Source organism: Homo sapiens, chromosome 7, assembly GCF_000001405.40.
Source record: "Homo sapiens chromosome 7, GRCh38.p14 Primary Assembly".
NCBI classification, from domain to species: Eukaryota; Metazoa; Chordata; class Mammalia; order Primates; family Hominidae; genus Homo; species Homo sapiens.
The window spans coordinates 51159642-51182689 of record NC_000007.14 but is presented as its reverse complement, the minus strand read 5'-3'; the positions used below and the strand labels follow the sequence as shown (position 1 = coordinate 51182689).

The 23048-nt window shown below is 38.0% G+C and overlaps 1 protein-coding gene across 23 annotated transcripts in view, besides 5 other annotated features; it reads left to right on the top strand.

Annotated features, from left to right (window-relative positions):
- COBL (cordon-bleu WH2 repeat protein) overlaps positions 1-23048 on the top strand; it is a 300598-nt gene that overhangs the window by 134120 nt on the left and 143430 nt on the right. For 11 of the 23 annotated variants that reach the window (XM_047420080.1, XM_011515240.1, XM_047420077.1 and 8 more), the window contains one exon: positions 10160-10234. The exons of the other annotated variants lie outside the window; for them this stretch is intronic. In XM_047420080.1, the coding sequence (XP_047276036.1) occupies positions 10160-10234 (75 nt within the window). The remainder of the gene's footprint in view (positions 1-10159; positions 10235-23048) is intronic. 23 annotated transcript variants of the gene reach the window in all.
- Positions 5751-6366: an enhancer, noted in NCBI's record as "NANOG-H3K27ac hESC enhancer chr7:51244021-51244636 (GRCh37/hg19 assembly coordinates)". NCBI's record gives its function as "activates a minimal SCP1, AML or CMV promoter by ChIP-STARR-seq in naive H9 embryonic stem cells {active_cell/tissue: H9 hESC(naive)}" and the evidence as "EXISTENCE:reporter gene assay evidence [ECO:0000049][PMID:30033119]".
- Positions 6367-6982: an enhancer, noted in NCBI's record as "OCT4-NANOG-H3K27ac hESC enhancer chr7:51243405-51244020 (GRCh37/hg19 assembly coordinates)". NCBI's record gives its function as "activates a minimal SCP1, AML or CMV promoter by ChIP-STARR-seq in naive H9 embryonic stem cells {active_cell/tissue: H9 hESC(naive)}" and the evidence as "EXISTENCE:reporter gene assay evidence [ECO:0000049][PMID:30033119]".
- Positions 6983-7598: an enhancer, noted in NCBI's record as "OCT4-NANOG-H3K27ac hESC enhancer chr7:51242789-51243404 (GRCh37/hg19 assembly coordinates)". NCBI's record gives its function as "activates a minimal SCP1, AML or CMV promoter by ChIP-STARR-seq in naive H9 embryonic stem cells {active_cell/tissue: H9 hESC(naive)}" and the evidence as "EXISTENCE:reporter gene assay evidence [ECO:0000049][PMID:30033119]".
- Positions 13867-15066: an enhancer, noted in NCBI's record as "MED14-independent group 3 enhancer chr7:51235321-51236520 (GRCh37/hg19 assembly coordinates)". NCBI's record gives its function as "activates an origin of replication core promoter dependent on BRD2, BRD4, P300/CBP and CDK7 cofactors, and independent of MED14, by STARR-seq in HCT116 cells {active_cell/tissue: HCT116}" and the evidence as "EXISTENCE:reporter gene assay evidence [ECO:0000049][PMID:35650434]".
- Positions 21364-21658: an enhancer, noted in NCBI's record as "tiled region #13396; K562 Activating DNase matched - State 12:CtcfO". NCBI's record gives its function as "activates a minimal TATA promoter and a strong SV40 promoter by Sharpr-MPRA in K562 cells {active_cell/tissue: K562}" and the evidence as "EXISTENCE:reporter gene assay evidence [ECO:0000049][PMID:27701403]".

The following is a 23048-nucleotide window of genomic DNA, read 5'->3' as shown; positions in this document are numbered from 1 at the left end:
CTCCAACTATCCCTTCCTCTCCCCCTCTCTTCCCCCCTACTCTCCCTCCTCCTCTCCTAGCTTCCTTTCCTGTCAGAATTACTTGAAATCACAGAAGCAGAATTTTGTGGCCGGGCGCGGTGGCTCACAACTGTAATCCCAGCACTTTGGGAGGCTGAGGTGGGCAGGTCACCTGAGGTCAGGAGTTCGAGACCAGCCTGGCCAATGCAGTGAAACCCCGTCTCTGCTAAAAATACAAAAAGTAGCCAGGTGTGGTGGCAGGTACCTGTAACCCCAGCTACTTGAGAGGCTGAGGCAGGAGAATCGCTTGAATCCGGGAGGCAGAGGTTGCAGTGAGATGAGAACATGCTAGCGCACTCCAGCCTGGGCGACAGAGCGAGACTCCATCTCAAAAAAAAAAAAAAGAGAATCAGAATTTTGTATTTGAATTTTTGCTCACTCTTTGAATGTTGTCTTGTTGGTTTTTTTTTCCTGACGTTTTTGAGATAAGTTGGCTGGGACTGTGTTCACCCTTGTCCTCCTTGATCCTGAGGACACCAGTTCACAGTAAAATCCACCATTCCTCATTCCTCATTCCTCACCCTTAGACCTCAAGTAGTTGTTCTCTTTGTGTCTTCTTCCTTGTAAAAGATGAAATGGCCAGAAAAACCAAGTAAAAAATCTAGAAAGACTTTCGTTTTTAGCAAAGTAAGGTCACCTAAAAAGCTGGAGATGTGGAGACTGACTCAGCTTCTGATAGTTCAGGGTGTGGGGAGACACCACATCTGGCAACACAGCAGTGAAGGCGCAGTCAGTGATCCAGTCCCGTCCGTGGATTGCAAGGGACTTTCTGTCTTTCACCATTTCGATACAGCAGTGAAGGCGCAGTCAGTGATCCAGTCCCGTTCGTGGATTGCAAGGGACTTTCTGTTTTTCACCATTGTCGACACAGCAGTGAAGGCGCAGTCAGTGATCGAGTCCTCTCTGTGGATTGCAAGGGGCTGTTTTTCACCATTGTCAACCTAAAGAAAGAAACTGACTCAAAATTAATATAGATAGTTTATCTGGGCCAAGGTTGAGGACTGTAGCCTGGGACACACTTCGTTTGCCTTGGGGAATGCTCCATTCAGCCGTAGTTACAAGAAGGTTTTTTAGGGCAAAAAGGAAGAAGGTGTGGCTGACACAAAGTTGTTTGACAAGGATTCTCACTAGTTTACAGAAATAACGCTGATTGGTGATTGACTGTACACTCCTGAACTGCGGCAGATGAGTTATGGCATCCAGTGTATGGCATTTTGTAGCTACTTGGCAAAAAATTCACTCAGTGTTACAGCTCAAGTAGCAATTGGCTTTAAGAGCTAATTATTTAGCTCAGGCGGGTGTGGGACATGACCACCACTGCATTTCAATGCTTCCCTGGGCCTGATAATTAAAAGGAGCTCACATTCTGTGGATAAAAAGTGTATTTATTTCATTTCCCTCTTTTGATACAAAATATTTCTTCTTGAAAGCATTGATGATTAAACGCTGAGTGTCAAGGGGTCCCTTGTCACTGGGAAGGGTGATTCTCAGATAGCCCTGTCCCATGTTAGGGAGGAAAGAAAAGATGTTTTAGTGAGGAATTTTAAGGGAACCCCAAAGCCAAATTAGGATGGCATTACAGAGTGGCAAGAATGAAACCTCAGTCACGTCAGAAATTTATTAGCTGCTGTTGCTTGTTGAATCATCTCTAGTCTTTGGAATACCATTTTAGTTTTCTCAGAAGAAATAAAACCACAAGCAATATATAGTATTAATAATCTGAACAGTAAAAGCGTAATGCACACAGGATTGGATTATAGTCAGAAAGATAATTTATATGCCAGATCAAACAAACCTGAATTCCATTAGGGAACAACTGAAAACATCAGGCAGAACATTACATCCTGCTTCTTCTTTAGAGACTTGTAGCCAGGAGGTAATTCAGGATTCAGTCCAAATTGTGGGCAAATAATAATATCACAAAAACAATAGTCTGCTAGAACTGAATAACAGGTGGGTTATTGAAAAATAATTTTTCCAGTTCCTCCAGTTTTACCAAAGATAAATCATAGTAGAACCAGTTTATTTGTAAAATTAGTTTTACACTTATTATACTTGGCATGATTATTTGCATAAGATGCAGCAATAAGAGTGGCCATACTGACTCATTTTAGTTGGCTTTGCTGGAACTTTTTGGTTAAGGAATCTCAGATTAGATTTTTAAAAGCCTCTTGTGGCTAGGAAGCCAAGTTAAGGATTTACCATCTAACTGTGCCGGTAATACCTGTATGAATTCAGTGAATTTCTTTCTTCTCGAGATCTCAAAATATCTTGAGATTACTGGGCCTGTCAGAAAGTGACATGCTTTTACTTACTGCAAGGTCAGCAACCTTGTAAGGGAACCATGTCGACAAGGAACCGGGCCAGCCATTTTCTAAGTCCACTGGCTATAAAGTCAACTTCAGCCCTTCAAACCAGTCTGGTCATATCTGAAAATCTGTCATTCCAGTCTAAGCCTTGTAAAATAACCAGTGCTTTCAATGTGTCTTGTTAAAAAAGAAAACAGATCCTTGTTGAACTTATGCAAGTAAGTATATTGCCATAAAATGAAAATACAAATAGTTTCTGAATTTTGGAGAAATCAGGTAGAATGAAAGATAAATGTCTCAGTTTGCCCACCATAGTGTACTTTACCCAATTGCTGTAAGCTATAAATAGCTCAAAAAGAAAAGTTTTCTTGATGCTAGAAAACAAAACATGAAAAGAACCTACTGTGTTTCAAACAAAAAGAAGTCACAAAAATCATTTCAGTGCTCTGTCACTTCAGTGCCATGTACTTAGCTTTTATTCTGCTTGAAGTTGGGTTAGCGATCTTTATGAACTCATCAGGTTTGAAATTAGATTACTGGATTTTTTCTTTTTGCGTTGTTCAACGGCATGATCTCCAAAATTATCAGAAACTTGTATTCAGAGTGCTTTTTGTGATCTTCTTCATAAGGTTCCTTGAAGATACAATGCTTTGGCATTTACAAAGAACTTTTAGGAAAAGAGAGCATCAGAATAAAGCAATTTACTGTTTATGTCAAGACACATCAAATTTTTCGGTATCTTTTATAATTATAGAATGCATATTAATAGCATATTCATATAAAAATAACCTGAAGAAAGTTAAGCACCATCTCTTGGCTGGGCGCGGTGGCTCACACCTGTATTCCCAGCACTTTGGGAGGCCGAGGCAGGTGGATCACCTGAGGTCAGGAGTTTGAGACCAGCCTGGCCAACATGGTGAAACCCCATCTCTACTGAGGAGTACTAAATACAAAAATACAAAATACTAAAATACAAAAATTGCTTGAACCTGGGAGGCGAAGGTTGCAGCGAGCCAAGATTGTGCCACTGCACTCCAGCCTGGGTGAAAGAGCAAGACTCTGTCCCCAAAAAAACCAACCAACCAAACAAACAAAAAAGAAAGTTAAACACTCTTATTTAACAATGCTTCCAGTATGATTTTCACATACCAAATATGCCTAATATGCCGCTTTTGGAGTTCCAGGGTCCCTGTTTGGATTTCCAGGAGCCCTAATCTCCAAAAGTTAGTTCAATGTGAGAAAGACTCATTAGAATTTGAAGTTTCATTTTAGGAAGTTTGTCAAATGTCAAAGGCTTGAAACACTTGATTTCAAAATGAGATCACAGTAAAATAATATTCATTTAGTCAAAGTGATTTTTTTCAAAGATTTCAAAAAGCAAAAACATTTACTCTTTGATTAAGAGGAGACTTGGCTGGGCACAGTAGGTCATGCCTGTAATCCCAGCACTTTGGGAGGCCAAGGCGGGTGGATCGCCTGAGGTCGGGAGTTGGAGACCAGCCTGACCAGCTTGGAGAAACCCCGTCTCTACTAAAAATACAAAAATTAGCCGGGCATGGTGGCAGGCACCTGTATTCCCAGCTACTCGGGAAACTGAGGCAGGAGACTAGGTTGAACCCAGGGGGCGGAGGTTGCAGTGAGCCAAGATCATATCCAGCCTGGGCAACAGAGCGAGACTGTCTCAAAAAAAAAGAAGAGAGACTCAGTTTTCAGACCTAATAAAGACACGGTGAGTGTGTCTTCCTCTCTCTTCTTTTTTTATTGCAGCTTATTCAAAAGGTAAATAAAACCTTTTATTATTTTTTATCAATACTATATGAAAACCCTGTTCAAAAGAGAAAAACAAGTTTTGCCTTTGTATTAATGTATTATTACCAATAAACCTAATTTTAATAAAACCTTATAAACAAATCCATCCAACCTCATTCAGCTTTGACCACACAGATAAGTTTTCTATAAATCTTTTATAACCTTTTGCAATATTTTTCATTTTTTTCTAACTTCCTATACCCATTTAGTTTTATCTATCATTTTTGTATTTCATTAATTTAAAACAGCTTTTAAATAACCTTTAAGCCATGCAAAATTGTTGTTCCTTTAGCAAAAACCACATAAAACCACATGTATATATATATATATAGAGAGAGAGAGGGAGAGAGAGAGACAGAGAGTGAGAGAGTGTGTTTCACTCTTGTTGCCCAGCCTGGAATGCAATGGCATGATCTTGGCTCACTGCAACCTCCATATCCCAGATTCAAGTGATTCTCCTGCTCCAGCCTCCGCAGTAGCTGAGATGACAGGCACGAACCACCATGCCCAGCTAATTTTTGTATTTTTAGTAGAGACCGGGTTTCACCATATTGGCCAGGCTCGTCTCAAACTCCTGACTCTCATGTGATCCACCCACCTCAACCTCTCAAAGTGCTGGGATTACAGGCATGAGCCACCGTGCCCGGCCAACAAAAACTATATTTTTATGTCTTTTTTATAACCTTTTAAATTTTTATTTATTTATTTATTTATTTATTTATTTATTTATTTATTTTTTTGAGACAGAGTCCTCTCTGTCGCCCAGACTGGAGTGCAGTGGCATGATCTCAGCTCACTGCAACCTCTGCCTCCTGGGTTCAAGTGATTCTCCTGCCTCAGCCTCTCAAGTAGCTGGGATCACAGGCGCCTGCTACCATGGCTGGCTAATTTTTGTATTTTTAGTAGAGGTGGGGTTTCACATGTCAGCCAGGCTGGTCTCGAACTCCTGACCTCAGGTGATCTGCCCGCCTCAGCCCCCCAGAGTGCTGGGATTACAGGCGTGAGCCACTGCACCTGGCTATAATCTTCTTTAAAACCAAAAATGCATTTTACTTTTCTTGTGCTCTTTGGATACAAATTGTTTCTCTTTTATCTAGTAGATTTAATTACATATATTAATTTCAATGTTAACTCTTAGTATCCCAAATATTTGTGAAAAGTCTTAAGAAGTAAGCAATTTTAATTATGTATCTTGATACAGAGCCCAGAAAAAAGGACAGAGTTATGAAAGCAATGCCTGGAGAACCAACCCCTCCCAGCATTTTCAGGAGGCACAAGTGAGCCAGGGAAGACATGTAGCGTAGCTCTGCCCCACAGCTCTTGGCCTAGGTGCTGCAGACATCCACGTGTCCCCAGGCCTTCCCGTGGCCACTTGTCTATACCCCAGAATCAAACAGGTATCAACAATATCACAGAAGCAACAGTTTTATGACCTTAAACACCTACCAGAAATAGGCTAAACCTATTTGACTAGTAGACCCAGGCAAAAATCTCTAAATTAAATTCTGAAAATATTTCTATTTTATTTTACCAACAATTTTAAAACTAGCCTCATTTACCAAAGATTACTGAAGTCACATGAACTTGAAAAGCATTTGGGCTTATTTACTAAATTTATGAGAACTGATTTACTTATAAGTCAGTTTGGTACCATGTAGACAATATACAAACACAGACGTGTACACATGTATACATACAAACATAGACAAAAATAAAGATTTCATAGCTTTGATTTTAAGATTTTAGCCACGAGTCAGGTGAAATTCACTAGTTCAAAAGGACATTTGGATTCAAACTGTGCCTTTGTAAATGGAACAAGTTAAAGTTTATCTGTCTCATATGCCTAAAGCCCTCACAAAATTTAACAAGGTAGCAAATTTACATTTCAAAGCAGAGAGAGAATTTAAGCTTTTGTAAATACCAATGAATTTTACATTATCTTTGGCAAAAATCATGTCCTCAAAAGGGAAGCAGACCAAGGGAGTATATTTGGTTAGCAGGGGTTTAAGAAGAAAGAGATTCAATCAACTGAGAAACTTTTATAGAGAGAACAGAGGACTCAAAAAATATGGGTGCATATATGTGTGTGTGTGTGTGTGTGTCTGTGTGTGTATACATATATATCCCAAATATCAGTTATTCATTAAGTTACCTTTTGACTAGAGAGCTCCTGAATCTTTTCAGTCTCTTATCAGATTTTAGCCAGGACAAATCAGCCAATATCCTTGCTTTTGTATTTTTTAATTTTTTCCTCTTTTAAACCAAAGGTACCTTTCCAAGTGACTCACCAAAACTAACACGACTTAACCAAGGTTATGATTTAACCAGAGACTTGCCAAGTATCTCCAAAGAGGTGCAACACAGTCCTCACAAGACCCAGAGCCACCAGAAAAACTTCAAAATAAGGAAGGTTTTGCTAGCTGCAAATGGGGTACAAGCCCCATCTGTCCTGTCTAGCGTATTCCCTAGGGTCTCAGCTTCTCAGCTGACCGTCTGTATACAAGGTCCAGACTGAGGATTTAAAGAGACAGTGGGAAAGACAGGAAAACAAAAGCTGCCCGTGGGGGTAGTGCCAAAAGGCAGGAAAACGTGGGAAGGTAAATTTATGGGATGAATAAAGACTGCACCTAGATTCCCTGGCACTGCTGTCTCTGAGCCCATAAGCAAGTCTTATAATGGAGCCTATCTTTAGGTGAGAATGGCAGGCAGGAAAACCTTTGTCTTTCTAAATTGCCTCTCTGCCATCAGGCAAGCCAGAGGAAGGGGCAGTGTCTCCCTGGATGTTAACCTTCTTCAGCTACCAATCACCAGTACTTAGGAGAGGAATATTTTGGTTTCCTTCAGTAGATAGGATTATAAATGAGTATCCGAGACAAATAATTCAAATTAATTTCTTATAAATGTTTCTTTCCTGAGCAAGAGATACCCACTGAGGAAATAAATGTTGTGGTATGTCCCAAGAACATTAACGATGTATCAAACCTGTTCTCAGCTGGAATGCTGCTTAGCTAATACAATGCATGTTAACATTTCCAAGACATGGTAAGATTTACATCTCCAAGGGACTGAGAAAGGTCTGCAGGCAGTTTAGGCATTTAAAGAGTTTTTCTGGGGGTTTAAGGAGCGGTCTCTAAAAAAATTCTCAAATCTCTTAATATGGGGGTGAGAGAACTCACGTTCATGCACCTTTTGGTATAAAACTAATAGGAATTGGTCACAAATTTTTTAAAGTCCAAATTATAAACAGTAGAAAGCAGCTGCAGTTTTAAAAGCGTGCTATGTAAAGTGATATCAGCAGTGCAAAACTGCCAATACCTTGACCTACCTGCTCCAAGGTGGAAAAGGTAGTTTTCCTCTTTAATCACTGATGCCTGAATCACTTGCCTGCAAGGCAAAGATAGAACCTCCATTCCAGAAAGGGAGCAGTGGAAAGGGCAGCCCAGGTGAAAATCATAGGGTGGTCCGGATTCAGGAGGTCTCACCCTTTGCACCCCGGGATCCTCTGGAGCTGGGGACCCAATATGTTGCTGGTACCAAGAGCTGGGTCTGAGAGAAAACGCTGGGTGCTGTTGTGAGGAGCACTCTGAATGCTGCCGACTTAGACCAGATATGTCGGCCTAAAAAAAGAAACTGAGGCAAGATTAATGTAGAGAGTTTGTTGGGCAAAAGGTGAGCCTCACTGCCTAGGACACACTTTCAGGTTGCCTTGGAGAGATTCAGCCATGGTTATAAGAAGGTTTTTAAAGGCAAAGGGGGACAAGGAGTGGGCTGATACAAAGTTGTTCCACAGGAATTGTCACTGGTTTACAGAGATGACATTGGTTAGTGATTGGCTATCCCTTGTTGGGCTATAGGGTAGGAGTTATGGTGTCCAGTGTGTGGCATTTTATGGCTCCTTGGCATCAGTTAGACTGGAGCCCACATAGCAGATGGCCTCAAGAAGTCACCATTTGGTTCAAGGGTAGAGTGAGACATGACTGATGTGCATTTCACTGCCTCTTATTTTTCATTTCTCTATACCTTATCTTTCATTTATCACTTTCCTTCTCATTTATTTTACTATATTTTTCTCTAGACATCCCTTCTTCAGTCTTATCTTTATTGGATAATTTGTTATTGTTTTGTGTTAAATTTTAGCTTCTTGTTTCTCTTGATTTTTATGGTTTGAGGTACCGTGCTAAATGCAGCCTCATTTAGTTTATCTAGAAACCTGGTGAGAGAGGCATTATCAGCTCCATTTTGCAGGGAAGAAACTTAGGCTGAGCAGCTCCAAGCCGAGCATAGTGCGGGTAAATGCCGGAATTCATAAACACCAGAATTCAAACCCAAGCCTGTCTTTCCAAAGTCCTTGCCATTAATCACTGGTTTACATTGTATGGTGTGGTATCAATTTCTTTATCAAGAAAAAGGATTGGAAACAAATAATTTTTTAAAATAATTTGTAAAATCCTGTGATGTCAGTCTGCAGAGGTCTCAGTGAACAGATGCTAAGAATGGAGAATTATTGAGGCATTTAAAACTTAAGGTGACTCTTTACTACATCACCTTAAAGGAAAAAAAATTATAGGTATGTGTGTATATGTGTATGTGTCATATGTGTGTGAATGTGTGTATAAAATATTAATAGGAAATATACTTAAAGGAATATGATACTGGCTAAAATAAAGGATAGCAAATATCTTTTTTGTTTTAAAGCTTTTGTGTTTTAAAGTTTTAAAAGCATTATAGTTTTATATCATCTTGACATTATTTATTCTCCTAACACAGCAGTTCTCAAAAGTACCTAAGAATCACCTTGAGACCTAGTTTAAACATTGGATTGTTGGGTCATGTACCCAAATATTCTCATTTGAGAGGCCAGGTTGGGGTCTAGAAATTGAATTTTCCAATTGCACCAGATGATTTTGGTACAATAGAAAGAAATATTACCATTTTTCTTTTCTGGATCATATGGAGTGAGATATTTGGTGAAATTTTTCTGTGTACACCCAATGAATTAGCTGGGCAGTGATTAAAACTGAAGTCCTTGGGCCAGGAGCGGTGGCCAACACCTGTAATCCTAGCACTTTTGGAGGCTGAGGTGGGCAGATTGCCTGAGCTCAGGGGTTTGAGAACAGCCTGGGCAACAAGGTGAAACCCTGCCTCTACTAAAATACAAAAAAATTTATCCTGGTGTGGTGGCATGTGCCTGTAGTCCCAGCTACTCGGGAGGCTGAGGCAGGAGAATGCTTGAACCTGGGAGGTAGAGGTTGCAGTGAGCCAAGATAGCACCACTGCACTCCAACCTGGGCAACAGAGTGAGACTCTGCTCAAAACAAAAAACAAAAAACAAAAAACTTTGAAGTCCTCAAAACCTAATTAATTTGCTTGCTGACCTAACTCCATCACTTCAGGCCCACTACTGTTTTAAAATTGCATATTTTTGCTGGGTGAGGTGGCTCACACCTGTAATCCTAGCATTTTGGGAGGCCAAGGTGGGCAGATCACCCAAGGTCAGGAGTTCGAGAACAGCCTGGCCAACATGGTGAAACCCTGTCTCTACTAAAAATACAAAAATTAGCTGGGTGTGGTGATACACACTTGTAATCCCAGCTACTTGGGAGGCTGAGGCAGGAGAATCACTCAAACCCAGGAGGTGGAGATTGCAGTGAACTGAGATCATGCCACTACACTCCAGCCCGGGCGACACAGCAAGACACTGTCAAAAAAAAAGGAAAGAGAGAAAGAAAAGAAAGAAAAAAAGAAAGAAAGAAAACTCATTCCTATGAGTGTGGATTTCAAAATTGTGATTTCCGAATCAGGGAGCACTTTGGTTCAGGTCTGTTCATAAACTGGCAGAAGTGGTAAAGATTACACCTATTAAGTGAAGGGTTTGCTGCCTTGTGGCCACACTGGCATTTTTGCCTTAATGATCGCTAAGGACTATGTTTTCTGTCTGAACTTTCACCTGGAGATGATGTGGCCTGGTGCTTGTGTTCCAGGCTGAGCAGCTCGTGCTGTCGGGTGCAGACAGCGATGAGGACACCTCCAGGGCTGCCCCAGGAAGGGGTTTGAACGTGAGTACTAATGCCCCAGCAGGTGCTTCCGCTAATTGCTTGGAACTTCTTGCTTTGCGCGACCTTCCAGATAGTGAAATCACAGACTGGTTTAGTTTGGTGATTTGTTTTTTGTAGTCTAGATAGAGTCGAAAGCCGCCTATTGATTCTTTTTTAGTTGCCCATGCTACTTTTGGAATACGTGGAATATTTTAGTTTCTACTTTTCTATTTGCCAGTCAGTGTGATCAGGAGAAGCCTTCATTAGGGTAATTGAATTCATGCTTCCCGAAACTACCATCATAAGGAGTAGCCTGGTGGTTTTGGAGCTACTCAGTCCTGTTTTCCAACCCTATAGCTCTCAGCTGCTAAACTCTGAGCCTACGCTCTGTTCACGGAGCCTTTGAAAGGATTTCTGAAAACTACCTGTGCCCTCACATTGCACAGTTGGCATCTATAAAGTTTCTTCATAGTTTCAAATACTCAAGAGAATGTAATTCATGACATCTTATAAATATTGACATTTTAAATGTATCTAATAAAAGTTGGATCTTTACTATCACCTATTAAAAATTACATGGAAAGACTCTTCTGTATCAGTAAGAAAGTTTATATTTTCTTGATTTCACATTTCCAGGTCAGTCCCCATGTAAAATTTTATTCTATTCAATTCATATTTTATGCTTGAAAGTCTTTAATACGGACTTTAAGTAAAATATGTTATAAAATTAAAATATCTAAGTTATATTTTTTATTTGATGTGATTATAAAACTGTAAGTAGAAGAATATTTTTCTGGGATGAGTTCTCATAAAAATTACAAAATAAATCAAAACAGTATAAATATATTACAACTATTGACATAATTGTTAAACATGGAAAGTAAATTTTTCTTGAAAAGACATTAATAAGATGAAAGACAATTAAAAAATTTCATGTATCCATTGTGTTTGAACGTGATTTACTGATAAGAAAAGGTTCAACATTAATTATGTGACTCTTCATTTTTATTGAAGTAAGCCCCCAGGAAACACTTTACATAGATAGTATATAAGGATAAAAGTTCTCTTATAGCAGTGCTTTTTAATTCCTCAAGTTCTCAGGATCTAACATGCCAAAAATCACATAGAGACCTGTCCTCAAAAATTATCTTGAATGATCCTTTGATGATCCTTGAATGATACCTGATTAGATTATCTTTCAAATTTGTCAATAGCTAAAATTTGGGAGCCATCCGACTTGCAAAGTGATTTGTTACTCATTCACACTGGATATTAACTTCTGGCAGGTATAAGAAAAAAATGCCTTATTAAGACTTATAAAATGACAATTATACTTAAGGCTCTTTTGCTCATAGGCACTCTTTTGGAGAAAAGAGGGTGTGGCAATGGCTCTTTAAAATTTTCTTAAATTTGATTTTATTTTTAATTGATTCATAATCATTGTACATATTTATGGGGTAAAGTATGATGGTTTTGATACATGTTCACATTGTGTAGTCATCATCAGGATAAGTAGCAAATCCATTACCTCAAACATTAATTATTTCCTTGTGGTAAGAACATTCAGAACCCTTTCTTCTAGCTGTTTTGAAATGTGTAATACATTATTATTAACTGTAGTCACACAACTGTATGATAGAATACCAGAGAGTATTCCTCTTGTCTAACTGTAACATTGTACCTGTTGACCAATCTCTCCCCATCCTTCTACTCCGCTCTCCAGCTTCTCTCTACTTCTGTGAGATCAACTTTTTAGATTCCACATATGGGAGCATGGAATATTTTTCTTTCTATGTCTGGATAATTTCACTTAACATAATGTCCTCCAGTTTCATCCACGCTGACACAAATGACAGGATTGTTTTCTTTTTTAAGGCTAAATTATATTTCATTATATATATATGTGATACATATGTGACATATATATATGTATGTGATATATATTTATATATATATATATATATATATATCACAGTGTCAGGTTTTGTTTCAGAGCTAAGTTAATTATAAAGTTTTCTTGGAAAAATAAGCAAGAATAAGGAAAACCCCGAAAAGCATGAGGAATGGGTAAGCCTTACCAGTTTTAAAAATAGGTTTTAGCACCTTTATAATTACAGTAATTATAATTACAATTATACTAGCTCAATGAAGCAGAATAGAACATGTAGAGCTAATTGTATATCGAAGCATGGTATACAACAGGGTCAACACATCAAATTTGTGGGGGGAAATAAACTGATAAGTAGAGTTGTGATCATCGAATAGCCATAAGGAAAAAAGAAAAGTGTAGATGTTTTCATTGTATACAGTAGGAAAAAAAATCGAATGAATCAGAAATCTAAGTGTGCAAATGGAAACCATATAAATACTAGCAGAAGATATAAGTGAATTCATCTATATAATGAGAGTGGGTAATGCTTTTCCAATTATGACTAAAAATCCAAATGTGATAATGGAAAACATTGATAAATTTGTTTTTTTAATCCATTTTTAATTGTGGGTATAGACTAGGTATATATATTTATGGGGTACAGGAGATACTTTGATGCCTCCATGCCATGTGAAATAATAACATCATGTAGAATGGAGTATCCATCCCCTCAAGCATTTATATTTTGTGTTACAAACAATTCAGTTACACTCTTAGTTATTTAAAAATGTACAAGTAAGTAATTATTGACTATAGACACCCTGTCGTGCTATTAAATAGTAGGCCTTATTCATTCTTTATATACTTTTTTGTACCCATTAACCATCCCCACCTCCCCAGTGAGTTCCCCACTACCTGTGCCATCCTTCTACTCTCTGTCAATGAGTTCAGTCACTTTGACTTTCAGATCTCACAAATAAGTGAGAACATGTGGTATTTGTCTTTCTGTGTCTGCCTTATTTCACTTAACAAGATGATCTCTAGTTCCACTCCTGTTGTTGCAAATGACAAGATCTCATTCTTTTTCATAGTTGACTAGCACTCCATTGTGTATATTGGAAACCAAAAAGTAACTGAAATAAGTCTCAATCAATTTAGAAAGTTTATTTTGCTAAGGTTAAGGATGCACTCATGACACAGCCTCAGGAGGTCCTGACGACATGTGCCTGAGGGGGTTGGGGTACAGCTTGCTTTTATACATTTTGGGGGGACATAATACATCAATCAGTACACGTAAGATTCACATTGGTTCAATCTGGAAGGGCAGAACAACTCAAACCAGGGTGTTGGGGGACTTCCAGCTCATAGGTAGATTTAAACATATTCTGATTGGCAGTCTGTTGAAAGCATTATTATCAGTAGAAAGGAATGTCTGGATTAAAATAAGGGGTTGTGGATACCAAGGTTTTATGCAGATGAAGCCTCCGGGTAGCAGGCTTCAGAGAGAATATATTGTAAATGTTTCCTAGCAGACTTAAGGTCTGAGTTGATGTTAATGCTGGAGGGTGTAATGAGGCATGTCCAACCCCCTCTTCTGTCATGGCCTGAACTAGATTTTTAAGTTAACTCTGGAATCCCCTTGGCTGAGAAGAGGGGTCCATTCAGATGGTTAGGGAGCCTTAGAATTTCATTTTTGGTTTACAATATGTACCACATTTTCTTTATCCATTCATCTGCTGATGGACACTTAGGTCTTAGCTATTGTGAACAGTGCTGCAACAAACATGGGAGAATGCAGATATCTCTTCAATATACTAATTTCCTTTCTTTTGGGTATGTACCCAGTAGTGGGATTGCTGGATCATATGCTAGCTTTATTTTAGGTTTTTGAGGAACCACCAAACAGTTCTCCATAATAGTTATGCCAATTTACATTCTCACCAACAGTGTATGAGGGTTCCCTTTTCTCCACATCTTCACCAGCATTTGTTTTTGCCTGTCTTTTGGATATAAGCCATTTTAACTGAGGTGAAAGGATATCTCATTGTAATTTTGATTTGCATTTCTCTGATGATCATTGATGTTGACCATCTTTTCATATGCCTGTTTGCCATTTGTATGTCTTCTTTTGAGAAATGTCTATTTAAATCTTTTGCCCATTTTTTTTTTTTGAAACGGAGTCTCGCTCTGTCACTGGTGCTGGAGTGCAGTGGTGCGATCTCGGCTCACTGCAGCCTCCACCTTCTGGATTCAAGTGATTCTCCTGCCTCAGCCTCTCAAGTAGCTGGGACTACAGGCATGTACCAGCATGCCCAAAGTGCTGGGAGTACAGGCGTAAGCTACAGCGCCCGGCCTTTTGCCCATTTTTTGATAGGATTATTAGACTTTTTCCTGTGGAGTTGTTTGAGCTCCTTATATATTCTGGTTATTAATCCCTTGTCAGATGAGTAGTTTGCAAGTGTTTTCTCCTATTATCTGGGTTGTCTCTTCATTTTGTGGGTTGTTTCCTTTGCCGTGTAGAAGCTTTTAAACTTGATGTGATCCCACTTGTTCATATTTGCTTTGGTTGCCTATACTTGTGGGGTACTGCTCAAGAAATTTTTGCCCAGACCAATATCCTGGAGATTTTCCCCAATTTTTTTTGTAGTAGTTTCATAGCTTCAGGTCTTAGATTTAAGTCTTAAATCAATTTTGATTTGATTTTTGTATATGGCAAGAGGTAGGAGTCTAGTTTTATTCTTCTGCATATGAATATCCAGACCATTTATTAAAGAGACGCTGTTATCCCCAGTGTATGTTCTTGGCACCTTTGTTGAAAATGACTTCGCTGTAAGTATGTGGATTTGTTTCTGAGTTCTCTCTTCTGTTGGTGTGTGTGTCTGTTTTTATGCCAGTACCATGCTGTTTTGGTTATAATAATTCTGTAGTATAATTTGAAGTCAGGTAATGTGATTCCTTCAGTTTTGTTATTTTTGCTTAGGATAGCTTTGACTATTCTCGCTCTTTTATAGTTCCATATAAATTTTAGGATTTTTTTTTCTATTTCTGTGAAGAATGTCATTGGTATTTTGATAGACATTGCATTGAATTTGTAGAATGCTTACGGTAGTATGGAAATTTTAGCAATACATAAGCATGGAATATTTTTCAATTTTTTGGTATCCTCTTTAATTTCTTTCATCAGTATTTTATAGTTTAAATTATAGAGATCTTTCACTTCTTTAGTTAATTCCTAAGTATTTAATATTATTTTTGACTACTGTAAATGGGATTACTTTTTAATTTCTTTTTCAAATTGTTCACTGTTGGCATATAGAAATGCTACTGATTTTTGTAGGTTGATTTTGTATCCTGCAACATTACTGAATTTATTAGTTCTAATAGGTTTTTTGTGAAACTTTAGGTTTTTCCAAATGTAAGATCCTATCATCTGCAAACAAGGATAATTTGACTTCTTCCTTTCCAATTTGAATGCCCTTTATATCTTTCTCTTGTCTGGTTGCCTAGCCAGGACTTCCAGTATTATGTTGAATTACAGTGGTGAAAGTGGGCATCCTTGTCATGTTCCAGATCTTAGGGGAAAGGCTTTCAGTTTTTCTCCATTCAGTAAGATACTAGCTGTGGGTCTATTGTATATGGCTTTTATTATGTTAAGATATGTTACTTCTATCCCCAGTTTTTTGAGAATTTTTATCATGAAGGGATGTTGAATGTTATCAAATGCTTTTCAATATCGATTGAAATGATCATATGGTTTTTATCCTTCATTCTGTTGATGTAATGTATCACACTGATTGATTTGCATATGTTGAACTATCCTTGCATCCCCAGGGATAAATGTCTCTTGACCACAATGAATGATCTTTCTAATGTATTGTTGAATTCAGTTTGCTAGTATTTTGTTGAGGATTTTTGCATTTATATTCATCAGAGATATTGGCCTGTAGTTTTCTTTTGTTGATGTGTCATTGTCTGGTTTTGGTATCAGGGTAATACTGGCCTCATAGAATGAGTTTGGAAGTATTCATCCTCCCCTGTTTTTTGGAATAGTTTGAATAGGATTGGTATTAGTTCTTGTTTAAATGTTTGGGAGAATTTAGCAGTGAAGACACCAGGCCTCAGGCTTTTCTTTACTGGGAGACTTTTTATTATGGCTTCAATATTGTTACTTGTTATTAATTTGTTTTAGTTTTAAATTTCTCCCTGATTCAATCTTGGTACACTGTATGTGTCTAGGAATTTCTCCTTTTCTTCTAGATTTTTCAATTTATTGGCATATTGTTGCTCATAGTAGCCACCAATGATCCTTTGAATTTCTGCGGTGTTAGTTGTAATGTCTCCCTTTTCATTTCTGATTTTATTTGTATCTTCTCTCTTTTTTTCTTCATCTGGCTGAAGGTTTGTCAATTTTGTTTAACTTTTAAAAAATCAACGTTTTGTTTCATTGATCTTTTGTATTATTGTCTTCATTTTAATTTCATTTATTTCTGCTCTGATTATTATTTCTTTTTCCTACTAATTTTGGGTTTGATTTGCTCTTGCTTTTCTAATTCTTTAAGATGCATAGTTAGATTGTTTGTTTGAGGTTTTTCTTCTTTTTTGACATAGGCATATATGACTATAAACTTCCCTCTTAGTACTCCTTTTGCTGTATCCCATAGGTTTTGGTATGTTGTGTTTTCATTATTATTTGTTCCAAGAAGGTTTTTAATTTCCTTCTTAATTGCTTCCTTGACCCAGTGGTAATTCAGGAGCATGTTGTTTAATTCCCATTATTTGTATAGTTTCCAAAATTCCTCTTATTACTGATATGTAGTTTTATTCCATTGTGGTCAGAGAAGATGCTTGATATTATTTCAGTTTTTAAAAATGTTTTAAGACTTGTTTTGTGACTTAACATATGGTCTGTCCTTGAGAATGATCCATGTACTGAGGAAAATAATGTGTATTCTGCAGCCATTAGATGAAATATTCTGTACATATCTATTAGATCCATTCGATCTACACTGTAGATTAAGTCTGATGTTTCTTTGTTGCTTTTTGTTTGGAAGATCTGTCCAGTGCTGAAATTGGGGTGTTGAAATCTCCAGATATTATTTTATTGGGTCCTATCTCTCTCTTTAGCTCTAATAATATTTGCTTTATATATCTGGATGCTTCAGTGTTTGGTGCCTGTATATTTAAAATTGTTATATGCTCTTGCTGAATTAACCCCTTTATCATTACATAATGACTTTCTTAATCTCTTCTTACAGTTTTGGTCTTGAAATCTATTTTGTCTAAGTATAGCTACTCCTGCTCTTTTTTTGGTTTCCATTGGCATGGAATATCTTTTTCCATCCCTTTATTTTCAGTTGAGGTGTATTTTTATAGGTGAAGTGTGTTTCTTGTAGGCAACAGATCAGTGGGTCTTGTTTTTTCATTCATACAGCCAGTCTGTTTTTTGAGAGTTTAGTATATTTACATTCAATGTTATTGATAAGTAAGGACTCAATCCTGTTATTTTGTTATCTGTTTTCTGGTCCTCTCTCCCTCCCTCCCTTCCTGTCTTCCTTTAGTGAAGGTGTTTTTCTCTGGTGGTATGATTCAATTTCTTCCTTTTTATTTTTGTGTAACCATTGTATGTTATTTCGTTGGAAGTTACCATGAGGCTTGCAAATACTATTTTAGAACATAACGCTGCATAAACAAATAAGCAAAAAGAAAATGAATAAAAATTATGCTTTAACTTCATCTCCCCACTTTTTTACTTTTCGTTGTTTCTATTTATATCTTATTGTACTGTCTATGTCTTTAAAAGTTGCTGTAGTTATCATTTTTGATTGATTCATTGTTTAGTCTTTCTACTTAGGATAAGAGTAGTTTATACACCATAGTTACAGTGTTATCATATTCTGTGTTTTTCTGTGTTCTTACTATTACCCGTGAGTTTTGTACCTTCAAGTAATTACTTATTGCTCATTAATGTCTGTTTTTTTCTGATTAAAGTATTCCCTTTAGCATTTCTTGTAGGTCAGATTTGAGAAATTCCCCAGCTTTTGTTTGAGGGAAGTCTTTATTTCTCCTTTATGTCCGAAGGATATTTTCGCCGAATATACTATTCTAGGGTAAAAGTATTTTTTCATTCAGAACTTTAAATATGTTATGTCACTCTCTCCTGGCCTGTAAGGTTTTCCCTTGAAAAGTCTGCTGCCAGACATATTGTAGCTTCATTGTATATTATTCCTTTTCTCTTCCTGCTTTTAGGATCCTTTCTTTATCCTTGACTTTTGGGAGTTTCATTAGTAACTGCCTTGCAGTAGTATTTGGGTTAAATCTACTTGGTATTCTATTACCTTCTTTGGATATCGGTAACTTTCTCTAGGTTTAAGATGTTCTCTGATATTATCCTTTTCAATACATTGATAAATTTGACCTCAGAGAAAATATTAATAAATTTGATTTTAGGGAAAACAAACAAAAAACCCTCTTGAATGACAAAAAAGAGAAAATGAAAATAAATAAAGGAAAGAGATAAAACTCTTACTCATAATGAGAAATGTAAATGAACTACAGTGAACACTGTTCATCACCTATGGGATTGGCAAAAGCCCAAAAGTTTGTTACTACACCTTTTTCATTAAACTGTGGGGCCCTTAAATGCATTGCTGAGCAAAATGCAAAGTGCTAGCTTTATGGTGGTGAATTTGGCAGTATCTAGCCAAATTACACATACATTTAGTTTTTGACACAGAAATCCTAGTTTTAGAAATCTACCCTGAAGACTCACTGGCAAAAATCTAAAATGATTCATGTGTAAGGCTGTTTATTGTGGCATTATTTGTAACAACAGGAGATGAAAGCAATGTTCATGCCCATCAGGAGGGGATTGGTAGATGAAGCTATGGTACATGAAGATGTGGTATAGCTACATGATTGAATACTATGAATCTGTGAAAGAAGGAAGAAGTTTGTTATATTATTGATATGAGGTGTTTTCTGGGATATATTTTTTCCACTTTTAAAAATCAAGGGTGACTTTTCCTATGAATCAAAGTAATAAGGCTTCAATGTGATAGATTAATATTAACTCATAAATAAGAATATACTGGGTTTCAAGCCCTAGGGCAGTACAGCACTTAAAATAATAATGGCTCCCAGTGATGACCATGCCTGCTGCTTCAGTCCTGTCTGTTCTAGGCACTGTGCTTAGTTGTGTGGGCTTATTTGATCTTCCTTATATAGACACAGAAAATATCCAAATGCCAGAGGTGAATTGGTTGATCAGATTTATTGATATCTACTTATGTTGGCTATGATGCTCTCTTCAATTAAGGATGTTAGTGACGTAATATTTCTGAAGAGCACTCTGCCGTTGTTTTTACATATTTTTTCCACGCCATTGATCCTAGTCTGCACATTTTGATGCCAGTGCTTGCTTAATCTTACCAGAAGAGGGGATCAAACGGAGGCATGAGTCACATCATCCTTTTGCTGCTTTGAATGTCCTCTATTTTAAGGGATTTTGCAGCTCTTCCTTCCCTTAGTTCACTGTCTGGGCTGTGAGAGGCACTCCTTTTGTGTATATCCGGTGATAAAATGTAACACTGATCCATCTCCTTGTGAATTCCTTCCTTCCTTAGCTTAGCGCTTAGCTTAGCACTTCTTGCTTTACAGGAAACATTGCAGTGAGTATTGGCTTTATTGGTGCTCCCCCTGCTGGCTGTTTCTATGTCTTTGTGCAAACAGGGTAACAGCTTCAGCTTCAAGTCATAGTGAATCTCTGATGAGCACAGAGGCTTAGCCTGGCGGAGGCCGAGGGCAAGCCTACATCATTGGGGTGTTAAAGCCGAGCTTTCAATTCTGGCCCAGCATGCAGAACCTATCTTCACTTTCCTCATCTGCTAAACTGCCCACTTTGTAGGTTCATTGTAGCGATTAGAAATTATATAGCTCATCTGACACTCATAGGAAATGTTCTGAAATGGTGAGTAAACCTGACCGGAGCCCTCCAGAAAGTTTGCAGATACTATTATGTATTATTTTTTCTTGAGAAAATGTAAGTGGTTTATTATGTCTGTAACTTGAAGACTCTATGAGAATAGATTTGCATTAAAAAAATCCTAATGTAGATGGTCAAAGAAATTTGATCTTCTCTGGAAAAGTTAGTGAATTTCTTAGAAACTGAAGTTTACTCTGTTCCAAGATATATCTTCACTGTCTTAATCAAAGGGCGCTTGAATCATAGCAAATATTCTCATCTTTCAACTAACTTTAAGTAGTTTTCCTGGAATTTTACATTTTCCAGAAAACACTCCTTTCTGTATCTGTGAAAGAAAGTGTGCCTCAGGCTGTAAACTGGGCTGCACTGGACACCTGCGGGGGACTCTGGCTTAGTGGGGACATGGTCAGTATTGATTTTCCTCAAACTCAGCCTGTGTAGCTGTGAAAGCATGGAACAGATTACACTGCAGTTAACGTCATCCCACACATCTGGACTCCAAGACACGGGGAGGTCACATAGTCAGTTGTGGATGCCGGTTAATGATAAGGTGTGAGTTAGCTCTCGGGTCTCTGTTTCCTAAGTCACACAAACAGCAGTGATAAACTGTGCTAACGGATGAGACAAGGTACCTGAGTTAATTTGCAATTCAGCACACAAAAATGGAAAAGAAATTATTATATCAGTCTGATAAAGTGCAAATGTTCTGATGTAGGAGTAAAGTGACGTGGGTTCTAATCCTGGTTCTGTTATTCACCAGGACAACAGACCAGTCATTAGCAGGCCTTTCTCTGAAGAATGAACTTTTGAAAGTAACTGGCCTTTTATGGGCCCTGCTTCTTGGTTTCTTGGTTTTTTAAAAAATCCAAATTCTATAAATTTGACCAATCTAAAGGTATTACTACATGCTTCATCAGATATCTCTGCATTTCTTGATACCATAAAGTTAAAGTTCTTCTGGTAAAAGAGTTAAAAATCACTGCCTTATAAAACAAGCAAACAACAAAATAAACCTGTCTGGAGACATTTTGTCCATTTGCCCTGTTCAGGCAGTGACAGAAATAGTGTCATTATAGTGTTTCACAGATGGACGGAGCTTACATTTGAAGTGATTTCCATAGCAAAAGCCCTAAAAAAGTTTCCAGAATTCGTGTTGAGTGGCGTTGTTTCTGATGGAAGCCTCTGCAGTATTGGAGGCAGGCATTTACAGGGAAGCCCACCAGTAAAATAAAATTTTCAGAAAAAGTTATTAAAAGCTACATTTTAAAGGAAACTCCATAATTTCAGCTGCCCTGAGTCCTATGCTTACAGAGAGCCTGCATTTCCACCCAGCTGATCCGGGTCTCCAGGGGGATTACAGAGAACTTGCAAATGCGGCCCAAAGCATGTGTGGAGCTGTGCTGCCACAGGGTGGCAGTGTTGTCACACACACAGCAAATCCCCTCGCGAGCTTTTCTGGGCCTGGAAAAGCTCAAATCTGTTCTGTTTTTGGAGTGTTCATCAGTTGAGAACAGGAAAATGTGTTCCGAGGGCTGAGCCACGTGTTTATGAGGTAGAACTAATTTTTGTTATACATCAGTTGTGTAGAGATATTTTTAAAATTTAGCTTGTACCTTTAGAAAATGCTTTATAAGGCAGAGGTTGCAGTGAGCCTCGATTGCGCCACTGCACTCCAGCCTGGGCGACAGAGTGAGACTCCATCTCAAAAAAAAAAAAGCTTTATATTCAAAACAAAATAAATTGCATATGGCAGGTTTTAAGAGTAGAGTAGGAGAATCATGTCCAGTGCCTACAAGTCTAACAGAGTTTCTTGTTCCTTGTTCTCCTGAGCCTTTCTCAGTATCTGCATAGTTCTTTTAAAGGTTGTATGATCTTCTGTGTAAAGGGAAAAGCGTGGCTTTTGTTTTTGTTTGCTTGAATTTGGATTCTGAATTATTCACATACAGTTTGTGACCTCTTAGAGCCTTGTCTTCCCGTGTGTACCGTGAGCTCATAATCACCAGCACCCAGCATTCTTATGAGGATTAAATGAGTGCCAAGCACAGGAAGGAGCTCACAGCTAGCACTCGATGAAGGTTGGCTCGGCCCTGTTGCTCATTGCTTCTTTTATTCTGGTATAAGTAATGTGAAAGTCACTTTATCCCAAAAGCCTTTTTTCATTTGGGAGGTTTTCTTTATGAAAGACACCTGCAAATGTATTCGTGAATCAAAGGATATGACAACTTTATGGCATTACTGCATTGTTTCCCTTGATGACTGTGTCATCAACAACAAATAACAATATGTTATTATGGCCACTCAACTCTCCATTTCTGATTCAGAGCCTTGTGTATATAAAACTCCTATCAACTATTGGAAAGTAAATAGACCTTAATGTGTAATCTAGAAAAATCATTCTAAGGTTCTTTCCATACCTATTTGACCATTAAAAATAGGCCAGACATGGTGGCTCATGCCTGTAATCCCAGCACTTTGGGAGGCCGAGGTGGGTGGATCACCTGAGGTCAGGAGTTTGAGACCAGCCTGACCAATATGGCAAAACCCCATCTGTACTAAAAATACAAAATTAGCTGGACGTGGTGGCAGGTGTCTGTAGTCCCAGCTACTCAGGAGGCTGAGGCAGGAGAATCACTTGAACTCGGGAGGCGGAGGTTGTAGTGAGCTGAGATCGTGCCATTGCACTCCAGCCTGGGCAACAATAGTGAAACTGTCTCAAAACAACAACAAAAAAATAGTTTTAAAAATATTCTTATCATATGATCTCTAATGCAAACCTGGAACCCATCAGAGGAGGGTTTTGGTTTTAAAGCTTTGATGAATTTTTTTCCCAGAGTGTTCGATTCTTACAATGGGAGTAGTATACACATAGATCCTGAAGAGTTGATAAACAGGGCCTAATGCCAGTACCAGTTCTCGGAGGGAAAAAAATAAATGTAGATTTTTCACCACTTGGCTGAAAATGTGATGTTTGTAAGGATACTGAG